Below are 22,206 nucleotides of genomic sequence, written 5' to 3'. Positions count from 1 at the left end.
AGCTGCAATAAAAGAAATGGGCACTGAATCCATTTAAATATGAAACTAAGACCGTACAATTGTAAGAATTATGATTTCTGAAGACAATGTAAATATCACAAACTGTTGACAACATAAACATAATATAAAAATATTGGAAGGTAGTGAAGAGTGAGAAGGGAGAAACTATGGAAACCTACATATGTAGCTTGTAAATGGGAGGGAATCAATACCATCTAGAATTGAAACGGTTTACTTTACCTAAAATATTTATAGAATTTTTTTATCTATAAACAGCTGCAAGGAAATATTTTTTAAATTAAAAAGAAAGAGAAAAGTAAACTATGCCTCAATATTAAAATTTTAACCAGAAAACTCTCAACTTCTTGGAAAACAAAAACCAACCAAACAAAAAACTCCATTAGACAAATAAGTTAAAAGAGAGGAACATTTGCCTCAAAAATTTAGAAAAGAACACCAAAGTTATAAAACAGCAAATAATAAAGATAAGATCAAAAATAAAGAATTTACAAAAAAAGAACAAAGTACATAAATAGAGAAATTACTGGCAAACCTAATAAAGAAAAAAGGATTAATCAAATTAGAAAGGAGATATGGATTTTTTTTTAAAGAAAGAGGCCATATGAGGGAGATTATCTAAAATTATAAAAGGACTCTGAAAACTGTGGTATGATTAAAACACTCTCAGCAAGTAGAAAACCCAAAAAGATTAAAAACAAAAATTTATGACAGTTATCAAATTAATAGCAGCTTCTTTTCCTCATCTCCTTCACTACAAATATACACACATTCCTAGTTGACTGAGGAAACAATGACTGCAACAAATAAGGCTAACAGTGTTTTTCTTAGAATTCAATGGCTAATAAATGTGAAAAAAAATGCTCCCTTAATACTAGAACTGCTATAAAAACCTTGAGATGTTATTCCTCACCTTTCAAATTAGCAAAAATAAAAAGGATTATATTCACATGGATAGGGTACATCAAGAAAAAGAATCACATAGTTGAAGAATGAAGTATGTATCTGCTCTTCTCCTCTTATCCTATTGAGAGGTCACCAATAATAACGTTAAGGCATATGTCAAATGAACTCCAAGTCTAAGGAACTAAAGCCCACCACTCTATCTTTTGAAACAGACTATGGTATTATGGTGGATGGTGAGAATTCTGGAGCCAGATGGCACAGTGTGCTCTGTATGCATTTATTAGGTAAATATTCAACTTACCTTATTTTATAAGTGATCTGGCTGCTAGAATTTATTTAAAATATGTTTTCCTCAAAAATGATTCAATGTCAACTTGTTTAAAATTCATATAATACTAAGAAAATTAAAGGAAAAATAAATTGGCTGGGCACAGTGGTTCACAGCTATAATCCCAGCACTTCAGAAGGTCGAGGTGGGAACACTGCTCGAGTCCAGGAGTTCAAGACAAGCCTGAGCAACATAGTGAGATCCTATCTCTACAAGAAGTTTAAACAATTAGTTGGGTGTGGTGACATATGCTTGTAGTCTCAGCTACTTGGGAGGCTGAGGCAAGATGATTGCCTGAGCCCAGGAGGTTAAGGCTGCAGCAAGCCATGCTTGCGCCACTGCACTCCGGCTTGGGTGACAGAGTGAGACTCTGTCTTAAAAGAAAAATAACAAAAAACCAACCAACAGTCACTTTACTAAGTGACAGGCACTGTCACCACTGTCACTGTCACCCAGACTGGAGTGCAGTGGAGCAATCTCGGTTCACTGCAACCTCAGCCTCTCAGGTTCAAGTGATTCTCCTGCCTCAGCCTCCTGAGTAGCTGGGATTACAGGTGCATGCCACCACTCCTGGCTAATTTTTTTGTATTTTTAGTAGAGACAGGGTTTCACCTTGTTGGCCAGGCTGGTCTTGAACTCCTGACCTCAGGTGATCCACCTGCCTTGGCCTCCCAAAGTGCTGGGATTACAGACATGAGCCACTGTGCCTGGCCAACAGCCTGTACTTTTTTTTGGTTTTTTTGTTTTTGGAGACCGAGTTTTGCTCTTGTTGCCCCGGCTGGAGTGCAATGGCGCGATCTCGACTCACTGCAACCTCCACTTCCTGGGTTCAAGTGATACTCCTGCCTCAGCCTCCCAAGTAGCTAGGATTACAGGCATGTGCCACCACGCCCAGCTAATTTTATATTTTTAGTAGAGATGGGGTTTCTCCATGTTGGTCAGGCTGGTCTCGAACTCCCAACCTCAGGTGATCCACCCACCTCGGCCTCCCAAAGTGCTGGGATTATAGGCATGAACCATTGCGCCCGGCCTGTACTCTTAAATGTACATGATCTCTGTGAACTGCAGGCTCCAAATTTTCTCCAGGAATAATTTGCCTCAGACTCAATTTCCATTATGTCATATAGTTAGAGCAGATAGTTATTTTATTAGATTTAGTTTAAATAAATAAATCTTGAAGACTTAAAAACATTTACCTGCATCCAGTATGCCCTGGGCCAGAATAGCGCCAAACTTGGCCATGACATCATCATGCTTATCATTGATGACTTTGGAATACAGCTGTCTGAACTGATTCACCTGAAGGAGCAAGAGAAAGAATTATAGTCTAAGTCTACTCATTTGCGGTACCATTTTAGAACAGGGAATAATATTGCTCCAATGATAATGAGTTAGTTCTGAGTTTCGTAATGCTCAAGAGAGGGATATGGACCAGACTTGAAGGCAGAGCAGTTCCGTGGTTGCAATCACGGGTGTTATGACTTTTTAGTGTGGGAGCACCAGCTCTGTCTTGAATCCTCATTCCACAGTGGATGTTTCAAGGTCAAAGGAATGTTGAATGCGATTTCATACATTACCACTGTTAGTCAGCAGGCCTAAAAAGTCCAAGCAAACACTAAGGCTTTCATTGCATTTTGAATTATAGCTATTCTGTTTACCACCAACCTTGCGGGTTTCCTAAAAAGCATGGTCCTTCAGTTCCACCTTAAAGTAAATTACCCTTCACCAAAGCTGTGTGAGGTATCTTTTGCATGAAGTATATTCACATAAAGTAAAGATTTCCATTATCTACTCACATTAATTTTCTGAGGACTTGTCAGAATGTGTACTCGTACCAAAAGGAGAGTATCGGAATGGAAAATGTGCTGACTCACTTAAGGTGGGATTACTGGTAATTCTTTATCCTTTCTGCATTTTCTAAAATTAATATGTATTATTTTTATGATTAGAACATATATTTATAAAATATATTCTGTATGAATAATTAATATTCCTTTAAATCTGTTTGGGTGACAATAAGTAAACTATTTTATGCTTCTTCTATGTCTTACACTTCTCTGTTTTCCCAACAGTGCTTTTCAAATGGTAGGCACCCAGGAAGAAGTCGGCTTGTTCAAGAAGCACATAATCATGGAGCTCCCCAAATCTGCCAAAAGCAGAAAATATCAAATTTGAGTTTCCTAATATAATGACTTTATCTGCATTACATATTCTTTCAGAATCTTTTCCCCCTTTTCATTTGTCTTGGTCTGGGAGGCCACAATGTGATACAGTGGCAGAATAATAGAATCACACAACCCTGGCTTATAAGCTGTTCTTATAAGCTGTTTGGGTAAGTTACTACCTTTTATGAACCTCAGTATCTTCATCTCTACAGGGATGTTAGCACCTACCTTACATGGCTATTATAGGATTATATGAGGTAACATATACGTCGTGTAATGTATAAAGGGCATTTCATAGTTCAATAAGCATGACTGTTTCACCATATGGGGGAAGAATCCTACCAATCCCTCCTATTATCTCTGCAATCTAAATGCTACTAACAAAATAATATTCCTTGAACATGGTTCTCATTTTTTATTCACAGGCAGCAACAGAATATAGTGGGGAAACAATGAACTAACTCTGCCACTACCCAGCACACAACCACTTAAGTCACTTACTTCTCAGGATTTCTTTAACTATAAAACCTAGCATGATTAAATCATCACTAAATTCCCCTCTACTTAAAAAAATTCTCACGTGGCCGGGTGAGGTGGGTCATGACTGTAATCCCAGCACTTTGGGGGAGACCGAGGCAGGTGAATCACCTGAGGTCAGGAGTTTGAGACCGGCCTGCCCAATATGGCGAAGCCCTGTCTCTACTAAAAATACAAAAAATGAGCTGGGCATGGTGGCAGGCGCCTATAATCCCAGCTACTCAGGAGGCTGAGGCAGGAGAATCGCTTGAATCCAGGAGGCAAAGGTTGCAGTGAACCGAGATCGTGCCACTGCACTCCAGCCTGGGCGACAAGAGCAAAACTCCATCTCAAAAAAAAAAAAAAAAAAAAAAAAAATTCTCATGTTTGACGCTTTTATTCTGGTTCGACAAGTCAAGTTCCTTTGATTCTGAACTTATTTTAGATGAACATTTACATTACCTTATACAGTATGGAAATTTTATGTGCTAAAGGCTTAAGAAGTATTTCACAAAGTTATAAAAAGAAACATAGAACAAAGCACTGAATGTACATTATAGGGAAAATTTAAATTTAAAATTGTACCCAAAACAATAGAAAAGCATTCAGTAAAACTGACAAATGGATAAAAAAATCAGTCCAACTATACAATAGGCTTATCTAACTAATATTAAATAGAATGCTTTAAAAAGCTAGTTTTTATCATTTTAAATTTTTTTCTCACATTTTATTTCTTATGTATCAGTAACTTAATTTTCATTATTGTAATTCTTGGTAAAGAATTATTTTGATAGATTAGGACATACATTAAATTTCGAAGTCAGCTTTGAGACCATCTGGTCTACTCCCTCTATTCACATCTAGTTACAGATATGAAGACTAAAAAGACAAGCAAAACAATTGGTTTGCTTGCTATCACAAGCAATTAATGGTAATCAGGGTGAGGATTAAGATTTTCTAACTCAATTTCATTGTTATGAATAGTATGGTCTCCCCCCACCAAAAAAAACAAAAAGTAGAATTTCCAGGAGAAAAATCATATTAGCTTTCCATTTTATATCACAACAATCTCACAAAAAAAGACAATTAAAATTTTATGCAACGCTGTGATCCATGCATTGTACTATGTAGGAGTATTTAAAATCTACCTTCTCAAAAAGCTGCATTTTAAACATTCATCATGTTTTTACTTGTATACCCTATACTGCTGGAAAAAAGCCCACTCTTAGATATCAGGGAGAAAGCAATAAAGTTCCTTAGCGTTGTTTCTGTTGGTACTTATCATCTGAGTGTTACTCCTCCTTTCTATTTTTCTATCTTCCTGGTTATGGAAATGTAGCTGTACATCAAGGATCAGTTTTGGAGGTGTTTTTTTTGTCTGTGAAATTATATTTGTGCTTATGACTTCAAATATATGTCTGTAATTCCTTCCATGAAATCCTTGAGGTGAGATGTATTTTGGAATTCAGAATTTAGAAGGCTAACATGATACATATCCATATATTATACAATACTCCCAGTGTAGTACTGCTCTATATATTATGATATCCCATAATCAAATAAATTATTTCTGAAGTAGCACAATATATGAATATTTATACTAAGTAGGATAAATGATAATGAATTAATAATTGCATCCAAATGAGTCTTGAAAAACAAACAAACCTCTGAGTTTTCAGAGCTTTCTGGATTCTGTAATGGTAGATAAAGGGCTATAAACACACATACGCACATATATATATGTCTCTATATGTCTCTATATATATGTCTATATATGTGTATATATATCTGTATATATCTATATAGACATATATACTTTTTTTTTTTTCCCCTCCTTGAGACAGCCTCACTGTGTCGCCCAAGCTGGAGTGCAGTGGTGTGATCTCGGCTCACTGCAACCTCCGCCTCCCAGGTTCAAGTGATTCTCCTGCCTCAGCCTCCCAAGTAGCTGGAACTACAGGCGCCTGCCACCACACTCAGCTAATTTTTTTTGTATTTTTAGTAGAGACGGGGTTTCGCTATGTTGTCCATGCTGGTCTTGAACTCCTGACCGCGTGATCCACCCGCCTTGGCCTCCCAAAGTGCTGTGATTATAGGCGTGAGCCACTGCGCCTGGCCTATATAATTTTTTTTATGGCTAGTTCCCAAATCTCCGTATTTAGCGTCTAATTTTTTTCCTATGCTCCCATGTTGTTTCCAATGACATGCTGTCATGTCAAACTCAATATGCCTGAAATGAATATTATCTGTATTCTTCCTTCAAAATATTCTTGTTGATGCTATCATGACTTCCCCATTATCAGGATCCCAAATGAGTTTTCAGCTCCCTCCTCAATTTTATCAGCATTAATTTGCTTAGAGTAGTTTCTGTAGCCTTTTTCTTTTTTATTACCACTAACACTGTAAGAGTCCAAGTCCCTATCTTAAAATGACAGTGTGGTAATAGACTACTACTTACAAATGTGTTATGCTGTGAAATCATATATACAGTGATTTATTTTAGAACTGCAGGAGCTTAATTCTACTTCCAAAGAGGGTACTTGTCAATGATAGGAGAAGCTTTCCTGTACCAGGCCTTAGGCCAAGTAATACTGGTAATAGGAACACCAGATTCTATATTTACAGTGTAATATTTTGATGTGAGTTTATATATGATACTTAATATGTACATGTTCGAGTAACTGTTAATGGTGATTTTTTTGTTTGTTTTTTAGAGATAGGGTCTTGGGATGTTGTTCAGGCTGGCCTTGAACTCCCAGGCTCAAGCGAGTCTCCTGCCTCAGCCACTGTGCCCATCTTAATGGTGGATTTCATTTAACAAGAAAAACAAAAGATAGATAATTTAATAAAGAGGAGAGTTGGGTTTTTAGAGCAAAATAGCTCCAAGGACCTAAAAAAGAACATTACCCTTGTTAAATGTGAACCTTTGATCCAGGGATGTGTGCATGTTCCTGGGTTTATGTTTGTGAGCATGAGCTAGCGAGAAACTGAGAGAAGCAAAGCAAAGATGTACTGGAGATACTTCAACTAAGAGGGCAACGTGTGGAGCTAAGTGTTAGGGATGTGACATATATTAATGGTTACATAAGACATTTCCTTTGGGAATTTCCATTGTGAATTTCACAAAATACCTGAGAAATTTCTCTTTTGAATTCCTTTGAGAGGGGTTTATAACTCTTGATGAAATTCACATTTGATCTTTATTTTTGAGCCATTTCCACTTTATTTCATGGACTGGTTTTGCAATCTTGCAATTAAGACTCTGTAGCCTTGAGAATCTACTCCCCTTCAGAGTTTCTCAACAGATTTTTCTTTTTGGCAACATGCTGTATACCATCTCCAAAATGTCAATTTTGTCTTGTTGGCAATTATCAGATAAAGGAAAGATGATATAAACTGTAGTCTATGAAATTCTTTATCACTTGCTTAATAACAGAAAACAATGAAATTAACTTTAAGAATTCTTAAGCTGAGTAACAACTTTGCTCTAAAGAGTAGTGTTTCCTGAAAGAATTTTTGAGTTTCACATGTCAATTTTGCTTTTTTAGTCAGTGGTATATACACTTACATTTATCTACCCAGTTTATATTACTGGCAAAGGCTACTAGCTGTGACTTCACTTTGACATTTTAATCAGTGTCTAAGATTCCGATACAACCTGAAGATGGGAGTGTGCCCCATGTATCTGCACCAGGTAAGACTTGGTTCAATAACAGTTCCTGGAATGATTATCCAGCTCCTAAAGGACTCTGCCATTTTTGGAACAGAGATTATAATTGTAAAATCAATGAAATCCTACAGCAGAGGATGGGAAGACAGAACATTTGTCTTGCTGACAATACAAGTAACATGAAAGCAACATGTGGGGTCAAAGTGAATGTCTATGTATTACTGTTAGAGGAGGTGCATTCCATGACCAAAATTTGTTTCTTTAATGACACTACTCAGTTGGATAACCTCCAAAAGCTCAGTTGAAGATCAAAAGCAGAAATAAAATATGTAAAAGCTACTCATATGATAGCTGCTATATTTAAAAACAAAAAGAAATGTGGTGTTTGGAAAGATGTTTATGTTCTAGAAGATGTAGTATATTAAGTAATACGTTATAAAAACAGGATGAGAAGTCAGATTCTATCTTTGTAATAATACAATTTTTGAAAGTCCTGAAAATGATTTTGAGACAGAAATAGAAGCACTAAATAAATGAAGCAAAGATGACAGCAACTGTTTAGAACTTGAACTTTTTTAAACAAAGCTCCATAAAATTAGAATAATCAATGAGTTCCGGAAATTTTTCTTTTCTCTACCTCCTCAAATCTACTTTGCTGAAAATGAGGGTGGTGTGCTATTATTTGCTCGATGAGGCATAAGACACAATGCCAACAGTTTTTTCTGTTGTCAATTTTTTGACTACTTCCCATTATATGAGCAGGATTAATTAATACATGGATACTAAAGTCCCTAGCTTTAAGAATTAGAAGATCTGAAATTGTTGTGTAAGCTACACGTGTCTATTTAGTATATCAATGCTAATTTTAGTACATGTATTAAAAATAAGATACATGCATTTTCTGTTTCTTAGTAGAATGAGAAGTTTTGGCTGAAATGACAAGATACATGAGATATCAAACACTAACAACCTGAGGACTGAGAGATTATCATGAGATAATTTTATTTTATTTTTTGAGACAGGGTCTTGCTCTGTCACCCAGGCTGGAGTGCAGTGGCACAACCACAGCTCACTGCAGCCTTGGCCTCCTGGGCTTAAGTGATTCTCCCACCTCAGCTCCCAAATAGCTGGGACTACAGGCGCATGCCACCATGCCCAGCTAATTCCTTTTTAATTCTTTGTAGTGATGGGGCCTCCCCCTATGTTGCCCAGGCTAGCCTTGAACTCCTGGGCTCAAGTGATCCTCCCACCTCAGCCTCCGGGAGTACTGGGATTATAGGAATGAACCACCATGCTGGGCTCATCAGAGAATTTTAAAACAGGTGTCTCAAAACTATTATGGAGTCACCCACAAGGTGGGTGTGGATTGTGGAGGATATGTGAAGAGGATCTCTTTGGGGCAAGCTGGGTTGTGAGTCTTTCCCCCTCACTCCAAGTTTACAGAATAGGGGTTCAGAGGGTCCACTTGGAGTGTCCAATATGATCAGGGGCTGCTGTGCACTGAGACATTAGCTATTAGCTGAGGTACTAGCACTGACATCCTATTATATTCCTATGCAGAAGGGCAAAATGTACAAGAGTGTTTCTGTGGAGCAGATGTGGGTCAAGTGGAAAAGAAAGCTGTCTTGGAGCCATTTGGAACTCCACCCAAAAAGATCGCCTAGGAGGGCAATGACATTCCAAAAGAGAATGTGGATGTACTCATTTCTAAACTAAGATGGTATGTACGATACAAAGTGACTGCAGGCTTTTTAAAAATTACTTTAGAAGGACAGATCAAAAAAGGCATGGACTGCCTAAGTTTGCATCCTATATTATCAGAGGAAAAAGTTATCCCACTGAATACATTTTAAAAGGACAGTGAAAGGCAAAAAAAGAGTTCATTTTACGGTTTTAACACCCCAAGAGTTCTAATTTTTCAAGCATGGTTATATACTTAAATTAACAAAGGGACCATTAAGTCTAAAAAATACATTTAAAGAGCATTACATATTTAAAGTTTCCCCATTCTCTTATACTCTAAAATGCTCTCTTTACTTTTACTTTACTTTCAGTGTTTACCATATTTGAACTAAAAAACGTCCTCAAAAGACGATAAGTTACTAAAGAAAAGACCAAACCATCTCTCTTCCAGGGAATTTCTTTGTTTGCTCACCTTTGGACAAGTGATTTCAGTCTGCTGGATCATGATGAGAGCTGAAGCTATGAGTGCCCCTTGCCTCACGTAGTTCACGGGGTCGTTTGTCATTGGTTCTAGCAAATTAATGGCTTCCTGAAAGAATTTAAAAAAACACACAACTTTTAAATAAAGTTGATATGGCTGAACTTTCAATTTATAGTCACATGCCATGTAACGACATTCTGGGAAGTGACACACTGCATATATGATGGTAGTCCCATTATAATGGAGTTGAAAAATTACTATTGCCTAAGTGACTTATTGATGATACTGGCCCTGTGTAGGCCTAGTATAATGTATGTGTGTCTTAGTTTTTTACAAAAAAGTTTAAAAAATATAAATAAATCATTTTGAAAACAGAAAAAACCTTACAGAACATAAAGAAAAAATATTTTTGTACAATGGTACAATTTTTTTTTTTTTTTTTTTTTTTTTTTTGAGATGTAGCTTCAACTCTTGTCACCCAGACTGGAGTGCAATGGCGCGATCTTGGCTCACTGCAACCCCTGCCTCCTGGGTTTAAGAAATTCTCCTGACTCAGCCTCCAGAGTAGCTGGGATTACAAGTGCATGCTACCACCCCCGGCTAATTTTTGTATTTTTAGTAGAGATGGGTTTCACCACGTTGGCCAGGCTGGTCTCCACCTCCTGACCTCAGGTGATCCACCCACCTCAGCCTCCCAAAGTGCTGCGATTATAGGCGTGAGCCACTGTGTCCGCCCAGGTTTGTGTTTTAAACCAAGTGTTATTACAAGAGTCAAAAAATTAAAAATAATTAAAAATTTATTAAAAAAAGATAAGCTAAGATCAATTATTGAAGAAAAAATGTATACATTTAGTAGCCAAAGTGTACAGTGTTTATAAAGTCTATTATAGTGACAATAGTGTCGTACGCCCTCACATTCACTCAACACTCACTCACTGACTCACCCAGAGCAAGTTCCAGTCCTACAAGTTCCATTCAGGGTTAAGTGCCCTATATAGTTGTATGATTTTTTATCTTTTATACTGTATTTTTACCATAACTGCCTAGTCAGTACAGTAACATGACGTACAGGTATGTATTCTGGAAGCAACAGACCATAACTATCTATGTTTGTGTAAGTATACTCTATGATGTTTGTACATTCACGGAACTGCCATTTCTCAGAACGCATCCCTGTTCTTAAATGATGCACAACTATATCTACTGTCACTCTAAGTCAATAATTTCATCCAACAGTGTAGTAAGAAGTTAATTAACAACTACGTGAATGGAATAGTTTAGAACTGGTCATGCTTTACTTAAATTTCAATATAACTGAGGGTAAGTGAAAAGGAAGCTTTAGAACCTGAGCGCTCTCGTCTTGAGGTAAGAGGTCATAAAAAATTAAGAGAAAATGGGATTAACATTTGATAAACACCTATTACTTTTCAGACACAGTACTAGGTATTTTATGTATTATGCTATATAACCCTCTTACTCCTAAAACAAACAAAATCCAGCACAAAACAATCTTTATAAACAAAGAAACTGAGAGATAGAAAGGTTAAATAACTTGCCCAAAGTCGAGTAAGTACTGATAGCAAACCCAGGCCAGTCTGAATCCAAAATTTGTATAATTCAACCTCTGTCAGGCTGGGTGGGCGTGGTGGCTTGTGCCTGTAATCCCAGCACTTTGTGAGGCCAAAGTGGGTGGATTAATTGAGGCCAGGAGTTTGAGACCAGCCTGGCCAACATGGTAAAACCCCTTCTCTACTAAAAATACAAAAATTAGCTGGGCGTGGTGGCAGATGCCTGTAATCCCAGCACTTTGGGAGGCCAAGGAGGGTGGATCATCTGAGGTCAGGAGATCGTGATCAGCATGGCCAACATGGTGAAACCCTGTCTCTACCAAAAATACAAAAAAAAAAAAAAAAAAAAAAAAAAAAAAAATTAGCTGGGCGTGGTGGCGGGTGCCTGAAGTCCTGGCTACTCAGGAGGCTGAGGCTGGAGAATCGCTTGAACCAAGGAGGCAGAGGTTGCAGTGAGGCAGGATAGTGCCATTGCACTCCGGCCTGGGCAACAAGAGTGAAACTCTGTCTCCAAAAAAAAAAAAAAAGGAAACAAACCTCTTTCAAATATTAGCGTAAGGTTGGGTGCGATGGCTCACGCCTGTAATCCCAACACTCTGAGAGGCAAGGTGGGATGACTACTTGATCCCAAGAGTTCAAGACTAGCCTGCGCAACATAGTTGACCCTGTCTCTAATATAAAAAAGAAAAAAGAAAAATAGTAATAAACAAATATTAGAGTAAGGTAACATCTCAGATGATTTTATAAGACCTAATTTTAAAAGTTAAATCAAGACAAAAAAATAAACAAACAAAAAACCCAAAATTTTCCAAACAAAATATTTTACTAGCTAGTAGAATAGCAAAACAAATGAAATCATAGACTAGAATTGATTTCATGGTTGCACTTCCTAAGACCACAAGTGATGAAATTTTCCAAAATATTTATCAGTATTTCCCCAATATCCTATTCTTCAGAATATCAGTTCTATGAAAAAAGAAGTCCTTTAATAAATAAGTTTGGGAGTTCAGGCATACTGTATATATATCATCTCCTCTTGCAGATACAAAATATATGTATACACTGTATCAAAGGTTCTAGGAATATACATATCATAACAAAAGTTCTAGGATGCCTTATTATAAACCACTCAACTGTTGTTTATACCAGCATTTGTCCAATGTATTTGATCAAAAACTCTTTTGCCCCGTATAACTTCTATTCACACTCTGCAGGACTTTTGGGAAGAGCCACTTTAAAACACAATGTCCCTGGCCGGGCACGGTGGCTCACGCCTATAATCCCAGCACTTTGGGAGGCCGAGGCAGGTGGATCACGAGGTCAGGAGTCCGAGACCAGCCTGACCAACATGGTGAAACCCCGTCTCTACTAAAGATACAAAAATTAGCTGGGCGTGGTGGTGGGCACCTGTAATCCCAGCTACTGGGGAGGCTGAGGCAGGAGAATCACTTGAACCCAGGAGGTGGAGGTTCCAGTGAGCCGAGATAGCGCCACTGCACTCTAGCCTGGGCAACAGAGCAAGACTCTGTCTTAAACCAAACCAAACCAAACCAAACCAAACCAAACCAAACCAAACCAAACCAAACCAAACCCACAACGTTCCTTTAATCTGTCATTGAGATTAGAGTTAAAAAAAAAATACAAAACAACAAGAAAAACAACAAAAAACCCCACAACATCCCTTACAAGGTCCTTAGGTAGGTATAAATCTGGGACGAAAAGAGTAATAGGCTTGTAAGATTATCAGATATTTCTTAATTTGGTAGGATGTTTCTCAAGTATCCTTCATTCCAAGACCAAGGAAAAGAATGAACTGAATCCTTTGTTGGAAAGTGACTTTGGATTCCTCTACATGTAAACTTAACATATATATATTAAAATTAGAGCTATTAACAGATAATACACACAGCAGATATGGGTATCCTTTCTCCCTACATTACTGAAACATGTAATGACACTGTGCACAGGGAGTATGTTTTTCAAACATATTGTCAATATTCTTTATGAAGTAGTCATGATAAAAATATAACCAAATTTCCATTTTAGAAGGTAAAAGACAGTAACTCGGCCTTTGAGGTACATAATACAACCCCAATGGTATATTTTAGAATAAACAGATGTTTCAGGTTTTTAAGAAATAATTAAAAAAAAGTCCCAAACTAGTTACATAGGTACTGATACCTAGATCACATAAATTATCTAGAAATAAAGGCTTGTTTAGTATGAGTAATAAAAAAACTTTTCATTCAATTAACTTGTCAGATGCTGTGTTTCAAAGAACATTTGCTCCTAGATATCATATTAAGTTCAGAATAATCTGAAAAGAAAAAAGAATCTAATTTACATTTAACTTATGAGGCCTGACATAAATGTCAACTTAAGACTCGAGGGGGGAAATACTTAGTAAAACATACAACTATATTCTTCCTTTGTTTACAGAACAGATGTGTTGTAGAAAAAAAATAAGGCCAATTTCTATAACTACATTCGATATACCCAATGACATCTCTAGTAAAACTGAAGATACATTCTCATGTAAGAAATTCTCCCCCCAAATAAATTAAAACATAAGTAAATTAATTAAAAATAAAAAAACTGGCCGGGCACAGTGGCTCATGCCTATAATCCCAGCACTTTGGGAAGCTGAGGCGGGTGGACAACCTGAGGTCAGGAGTTCGAGACCAGCCTGGCCAACATGGTGAAACCCCGCCTCTACTAAAAATATAAAAATTAGCCGGGTGTGGTGGCACATGCCTGTAATCCCAGCTACTCAGGAAGCTGAGGCAGGAGAATCGTTTGAACCCAGGAGGCGGAGGTTGCAGTGAGCCGAGATTGCACCACTGCAGTCCAGCCTGGGTGACAGAGTGAGACTCCATCTCAAAATAAATAAATAAATAAACAAACAAATAAATAAATAAAAACAAAAATAAAAAACAAAACTCTGTAATGACAGAGATGATGTCCAACTTGGTCACCATCACATCCTTTAATGATCTTGCCATCCATCATTCATGCAACAAACAAAGCTTTAATTTTAGGTTCCAGCAGTGAACATTATATTCTCAGTGATCTTACATTTCGGCAAAGACAAACAATAAATAAGTGTAAAATATATCAGGTGGTGGTAAGTGCTGTGAAGAAAAATAAAGCCCAGGCAACACAGCAAGACCTAGTCTCTATTAAAAAAAAAAAAAAATTAGCCTGGCATGGTGGTATGCGTTTGCAGTCCCAGCTAATTGGGAGGCTTGCTTAAGACTGGGAGATTGAGGCTGCAGTGAGCTATCATAGCCCCATTGTACTCCAGCCTGGGTGACAGTGACAAGAGTGAGACACTGTCTCAAAAAAAAAAAAAAAAAAAGTATAGCAGGGTAAGCAGACAGAATAGGATGAAATACTGGAAAGGAGGGATGTCTCTTTACAAATTTTTACACAATTGTTGCCATGTGTAGTGAAAAATAGCTTTTTTTTTTTTTTCTTTTGAGACAGAGTCCCACTCTTGTCGCCCAGGCTGGAGTGCAGTGGACCATCTCCACTCACTGCAACCTCTGCCTCCTGGGTTCAAGCAATTCTGCCTCAGCCTCCCGAGTATCTGGGATTACAGGCACCTGCCACCACACTAATTTTTTGTATTTTTAGTAGAGACAGGCTCTTGCCATGTTAGGCAGGCTGGTCTTGAACTCCTGACTTCAGGTGATCCGCCCGCCTCGGCATCCCGAAGTGCTGGGATTACAGGTGTGAGCCACCGCGCCCAGCAGGTTAATTTTTGTATTTTTAGTAGAGAAGGGGTTTCACCAAGTTACCCAGGCTGGTCTCAAACTCCTGATCTCAGGTGATCCACCCGCCTTGGTTGCCCAAAGTGCTGGGATTACAGGTGTAAGCCACCACACCTGGCCTTTTTTTTGAGATGGAGTTTCACCCTTGTCCCCCAGGCTAAAGTGCAAGGGCATGATCTTGGCTTACTGGAACCTCCACCTCCTGGGTTCAAGCAATTCTCCTGCCTCAGCTGCCTGAGTAGCTGGCATTACAGGTGCATGCCACCACGCCTGGCTAATTTTTGTATTTTTAGTAGAGTTGGGGTTTTGCCATGTTGCCCAGGCTGGTCTTGAACTCCTGACCTCAGGTTATCCAACCGCCTGGGCCTCCCAAAGTGCTGTGATTACAGGTGTGAGCCACTGCACCTGGCCAAAAATAGCTATTTTTATTCCCAGCCTCAATAATCTTTCATGTGACTAGAAAAACTTATTTGTACACAATACCAACACTCTTTTTTTTTTTTTTTTTTTTGAGATGGAGTCTTGCTCTGTCACCCAGGCTGAAGTGCAATAGCGGGATTTTGGCTCACTGCAACTTCTGCCTCCTGGGTTCAAGCAATTCTCCTGCCTCAGCCTCCTGAGTGGCTGGGGTTACAGGCGTGTGCCACCATGCCTGTCTAATTTTTGTATTTTTAGTAGAGATGGGGTTTCACACCATGATGGTCAGGCTGATCTCAAACTCCTGACCTCGTGATCTGCCCACCTCAGCCTCCCAAAGTGCTGGGATTACAGGTGTGAGCCACAGTGCCTGGCCCACAATACCAATATTCTTTATTGGAAAAAAATTCAAGGAATCTAAAATTTTTAGATTCCTGGAATCAGTCCATAAACTTACAACTATGTTTTGTTTTGAGTTTGGACAACAGATGATAAAAAAAGTGACTCCTTTCTCTCTGATGCAAAGGCACTGGGAGCAAAGCCTTGCTCTCAGTCTTATACATACACACTTTGTTAAAAGGTTCACTTCTGGGAGGTGGCCAAGGTTTGTGCATATGTGCTATGAGAGTCAAAGTGTCATGATTATGTCACTGCTGTGAATTATGAATACTTGTTATTTATGCAATAGCACATTTCTTTATGAATCTCATGATGAATTATGTTTTCAAATCATCACCTTACCCCATTCAACTCTTTTTTTATAACTTTTGAGGGCTTAACAAATACCAGGTTACCTATTAAGGTTAGATATGAGAAAACAGGTAAATAGCACATCGGTGATTTGCTTAAAACAGAAATGTTATCAAATCAGCCGATTTTGGTGGCTTCGGATGAGAACCTTGTTTTCCAGAATACTAATTATACAAATTAAACATGTAACATAATCATATAAAATAACCTGAGTAGTTATTTAACAACAACAAAAACTATTTTATTTTCTTCTTCTTCTTCTTCTTTTTTTTTTTTTTTTTAAGAAATCAATGGGCCAGGCACAGTGGCTCATGCCTGTAATCTCAGCACTGTGGGAGGCTGAGGCAGGAGGATCACTTGATCCCAGGAATGTGAGACCAGCCTGGGCAACATAGTGAGACCCCTTCTCCACAAAAAATAAAAAAATTAGCTGAGTGTGTTGGCAGTGGGCAGTGTTCCTGCCACTGCACTTCAGCCCAAGCAACAGAGCAAGACTCAAAAGAAAAAAAAAAAAAAAAAAAAAAAGAAAGAAAAAAAGCCTGGTGCGGTGGCTCATGCCTGTAATCCCAGCACTGTGGGAGGCCAAGGCGGGTGGATCACCTGAGGTCAGGAGTTCGAGACCAGCCTGGCCAACATGGTGAGACTGCGCCACTGCACTCCAGCCTGGATGAAAGAGTGAAATTCCGTTTCAAAACAAATAAACAAACAAAAAAAACAAAAACAAAAAACCCAGAAATCAATGATTTCAAAAAGAAATTCAAAAGCACTGTTTCAGTTACAGCTATCCATGTAATGTGACGATTTATTCTTAAGCAGCTTTGGGCAATCCAGCATCGCAGAATGAGGGAGTACTGGGAAGCTTTGTATGGCAAGTTTACTCTTACAGATCACATTGCACTTGTATTTTTACAGCTGTTACATAAATTCTGCGGCGAGGGAAAACAGTCTGGCGCCAAGAAAGAACTGACCCCATTGGCTGTGGGCTTTACCTTGTTTCCTGTACCAGCACAGCATATCCCCAAGGCCATTGCAGCTCCGTAGCGCACATGAGGGTTGTAACTCTCTGACAACAAAGAGACAACACTTGGGCACTGTTCAGGGGTTCTGATAAGAAACAGAAAGCGAAGCCACTGTTATAGGTAATCTATTTTAAGTTAAGACAGAAGAGTTTTAACCAAGTTGTTTTTGAAAAAGTTATAGGAAACAATGAGCATTTAAAACATAAATTGCAGAATTAAAAATCTTTCATAGAGTTCTAATTATTGATAGAAGAAATCTGATCTTCAATATTCAGAGAATATATGTACAGAAAGGGGACTCCTTTCTCAGTATAAGTGAGTCCTCAGCCATAGGTCTGGATTCCAGTTATTCTCTGGTACCTCCTCCATGGCAGGAACAGCCATGTTGGGGGTAGCACACTGCTCTACATCTATTTTCCTATTTCTTGGTTACTTTGCATTTTGTTCCAGAAGACAAAAGTCATTTATAGTAATTCCTGGACATTTCCTAAGTTACATGAAAGATTTAAATCCCCCAGTATCACTTTAGTTGAATAATAAACTGATAAAGAAGCCTTGATAATGAAGAAATTCTGACTTCTGCATTTTTGCTTTAGCAATTATTTTTGTGTTGGTAAGAAGAGAAATTATTTTTCATTCTCTCCATATTTGCAACAAGATAAAAAATAGGACAAACTTGACTAATGGTATACCTGACCCCATCTTTTAAAAGATGATCCTGGCTGGCACAGTGGCTATCCTTGAAGAGCAGCAGGACTAGGGTAATAACTAGAAGAGAATGTAAGAAGAGCTTCTGGAAGGCTGGTAATGTTATGATCTTGAATTGGGTACTGGTTACACAGGTGTATGCAGTTGTGAAAATTCATCAAGCTGTGGGCTAATGATTTTGTGCATGTTTTTGAATGTATATTAAACTTCAATAAAAAGATTTTTTTGCAGCCATGAAGAATGAAATCATGTTTTTTGCAGCAACATGGATGCAGATGGAGGCCATTATCCTAAGTGAATTAAGGCAGGAACAGAAAACCAAATACTGCATGTTCTCACTTATAAGTGAGAGCTAAACACTGGGTATTCATGGACATAAAGAAGGCAACAATGAACACTGGGAACTGGAGGGAGGAGGGAAGGGTGCTGGGTTGAAAAACTATTGGGTACTATGCATAATACTTGGGTGACGGGATCTACCGTCCCACAAACTTTAGCATCACACTATATACACACATAACAAACCTGCACATGTACCCCCAGAATCTAAGATAAAAGTTGAAATTACAAAAAAAAGAAAGAAAAAAAAGAAACTAGGCTCTTTCCTAGACTTTGAAGCTGCATATACAGCTCTAGATTTTTCACCATCGCCAAACATTTACTGAGACAAAACCAACACACATAAGAATGTGTATTAAAGGCGGGCACAGTGGCTCATGCCTGTAATCCCAGCACTTTGGGAGGCTGAGGTGGACAGATCACTTGAGGTCAGGAGTTTGAGACCAGATGGCCAACATGGTGAAACCTCCTCTCTGCTAAAAATACAAAAATTAGCCAGGCATGGTGGTGGGCAACTGCAACTTGCTACTCGGGAGGCTGAAGCAGGAGAATCCCTTGAACCCGGGAGGCAGAGGTTGCAGTGAGACAAGATTGCACCACTGTACTCCAGCCTGGGTGAGACAGCGAGACTCCATCTCAAGGAAAAAAATAAATAAATAAAATATATAATATATAAAATATAATATATAAATATATATTATACATAAAAATATATATATTTATATATTATATAATTATATATGGTACATAAATATATAACACAATATATATTATTTATATATTATAATTATATAATATATATAATATATATATACTATATGTAAATATAATATATATTATATATATAAAAGTGGCAAAGCGGCATAAACTACCTAAGATATGAATGCTAAGGAGAAAAAAATATCACAGAAAGAGGTAACAGTGGTCAGGAGACGAATTCACAGAGAATGCAGACATAAAGTGACTTTGAAAGTATTGGAAGAATTGGACAAATGATGAAGAGGAATATAGGCATCAGGATAAGGAAAGTAAGTCAGCAAAGGTCTAGAGATGGGAATTCACCTGGCTTGTCTAATTTGAACACAGTCAGTGTTTTTGTAGCACATGTAATAAAAAATAAAAGTGGAAAGGCAATTAAGAGCAAAATGATACAGTGTCTTGAATGTCAGGTTTAGCAATTTGCATTTTATTTTGCAGATAAATGGAATGATGATTTAGAAAGATTAAGGAGATACCTGTGAACAAGACAGGTTAAAAGCATGAAGGTGGAAAAACCAGCAAGAAAACTATTTCAGTAATTCAAACCAATAAAATAAAATTCATAAACTATTGGCCCAAGGGCCCAATCTGGCCCGTAGCAGATTTTATTTGGCCTACATACTTTAAAAAAATTCAAAATAAGTTGTCACCATTTAAGATGGGAATATTTCACATTAAAACCCGAATTTCCAACTTCTCCAGAAAGGCTGTTTCAAGACCTTCATAGTTCCTAGGGCCCAGGCACTGAGTTTGGAGGTCCTGCCCTACTTTCTTTTAAAAATACTAAAGTGAACCGAAATCCTACACTGAATATAATTTATATGTAACTGTATAGAAGTTGACTTGCATTTAATTAATTGACATTTTAGGGTTTTCAGACATTTAATTAAAACATTTATTTATTAAAAAGGCATTTTAAAAAAAGACTATCCTGTTATGAATGAAAACAATTACCACAAACCAACTCAAATCTATAATTCTATGTTGGAACTGTCCTCCAGCCTCAAACTCCAGACAGTGGTGAATTCAAATTTCAAAGGAGTAGAACGAAGTTTATGAAAACTGTAACTGTTAAAATGAAATTTTGCAGTAAGGAAAGGTTAGATTATTTTTCCCTACAATAGAGTCCATCACTCTTTCTTGAGAATGTTCTCAGTTTGCCTAAACTTCCTTGTATGAATAATTTGGAAATAATACTAATTGTCACTAGTATTATTAGAAACAGTATGGGAAAAACAGTATGGTGGTGTGAAAAAAGCAATATATTAGAAAACTAAAGATCTAGGTCCTAGTTCTAGTTTTGCTAAATTTGTTAGTTATGTGACATTAGACAAATCACTTGGGTTTTCTCCTTTATAATTAGAGATAGATTTTCTTGACTGTTTTCCAGGAATAACAAAAACCAGATGAGCAAGTAACTGAAAATATAGTAATAACATATATGCTATCAGTTATTATGTACTGAGAAAAATAACAGTAAGTTATATAAGAGGGAACCATGAAGTCTAAAACTCATGTTCTAGTTCCTGTTTTGTCTCTAAATAGTTGGGCCAATTTAGACAATGTTCAATCAACCAAACATTCCAGGGTCCTTTCCTCATCTGAAAAGAGGAAGAATGGGACTAGAAGTTCTGTAAGTCTGTTCCAACTTTACAATTCTACAGCATTTAAAAATGAACCAATTATTATAGGTTTAAATCAATGCCTATTATTATAGGACAACTTTTCTTCAATGAGTAACATTCCAATGAAATAAAAATAAAATTTAAAATGATATTACACCAAAGAGGCTATTGAAAAGTTATTCTAAAACTTGTAGTTGAAACTACCATTTAACTTCTATTTTCACTCCTATAAGGCTAAGAACTTAAAGCTCTTTCCGTAATTTGATACCCAAATCATCTAACAAACTCACTCAAGTGTTTTGCCACCTAATTAATTACCAATAAAACCACTCTAGACTGCACAAGGGCTGAGACTATATTTTCTGTCTCCCATAATTTGTTAGCACAGTGCCAGGTACTATAGGTAAAATAATTTTTATTACTTAATAAGAGACAAAGAGAGTTAAACTAAATTTACATTTAGAGACTTAGACAGCAAGTATTTTCTACTAAGTTCAAGGCCTAATGGTTAAGCACTAGGAAATACACCAAGCTCTTTCCTGTTCCACTTTTGCTTTCTCCCTTAAATTTATAATTCAGCTAGATAATCAAAACCAGGGAAAACTGACATACCTGTGAGTATTTCTTTCTAAGGCTAATTGAGTCTTGAATGGGCACAATTCTGATAGCAGAGGGATAAATGTTGTTGGAAAGGAATGAACACTGGAATGTGAGAAACAAGCTTGAGGAAAAGTAGGTAGAAAAACCATATTGATTTTGTGTAGAGGAATAATGAAGATAACACTAGAAATAAAAAATCAGGACTACTAGCATAATAACCACTTGGGTGCATGGCAGGAATCAGAGCTTTCTGAAGAACCCTCTCTATCTTTCTTAAGACCTGGTGGCTGGGTCTAGTCAGTCATATTTATTGAGTGATTATTATACACGACACAGTAGGTTTAGACAATAACAAACATTTGGAAAAACTGGGTCTTGGTTTAGGCTCGCTCGGGACTTAGTTATGTGACTATCTGCCAATTGTCTGATACAGCGGTTCTAAATCTTTTTTGGATCAGAGTCTCCTTCCTCCTGCCCCTCTAAACACACAGATAACACAGAATTTTGGGAGTCGAATCTTTAAATGTAACATGAGGGAATGTATCCCAAGGCTTTAAAACCTAGTTTATACAATTATCATGTAAAGAAAATGAAAAACAACTTTGTTGCTCTTTAGTATTACTATACTTCTGGTTCATCATAAGGTATAATATAATAGGCAGCAGTAAGTAAAAACTTTGCTTTAATCCTAAGTATGTAATTCAATTTTTAATGAAAAAAAGTTGTAATTTTCTGCTTTAAAAAATGAAACGCACACCAAAATAAGCTAACTACATTCTAATTTGTTGTTTCAATAAAATTTCTTGGTTTGTAACTAACAGTCATCTTGCCAATGTTACTATTTGTACAAGCCTTCCACAGAGCAGGAATTGTGCAAGGGC

The 22,206-nt window shown here is 37.4% G+C and overlaps 1 protein-coding gene across 3 annotated transcripts in view; it reads right to left on the bottom strand.

Moving 5' to 3' along the window:
- Nucleotides 1–22,206, bottom strand: part of PSMD1 (proteasome 26S subunit, non-ATPase 1) — a 115,961-nt gene that overhangs the window by 16,713 nt on the left and 77,042 nt on the right. For all 3 annotated transcript variants that reach the window (NR_034059.2, NM_002807.4, NM_001191037.2), the window contains 3 exons: nucleotides 17,265–17,379; nucleotides 9,759–9,875; nucleotides 2,449–2,551 (listed from right to left, as the gene is read on the bottom strand). Coding sequence is in view for 2 of the 3 variants with exons in the window: in NM_002807.4 (NP_002798.2) it covers nucleotides 2,449–2,551; nucleotides 9,759–9,875; nucleotides 17,265–17,379 (335 nt within the window). In the remaining variant the exon portion in view is untranslated. The remainder of the gene's footprint in view (nucleotides 1–2,448; nucleotides 2,552–9,758; nucleotides 9,876–17,264; nucleotides 17,380–22,206) is intronic.

Source organism: Homo sapiens, chromosome 2, assembly GCF_000001405.40.
Source record: "Homo sapiens chromosome 2, GRCh38.p14 Primary Assembly".
NCBI classification, from domain to species: domain Eukaryota; kingdom Metazoa; phylum Chordata; class Mammalia; order Primates; family Hominidae; genus Homo; species Homo sapiens.
This window is presented reverse-complemented; position numbering and strand designations above follow the sequence as displayed.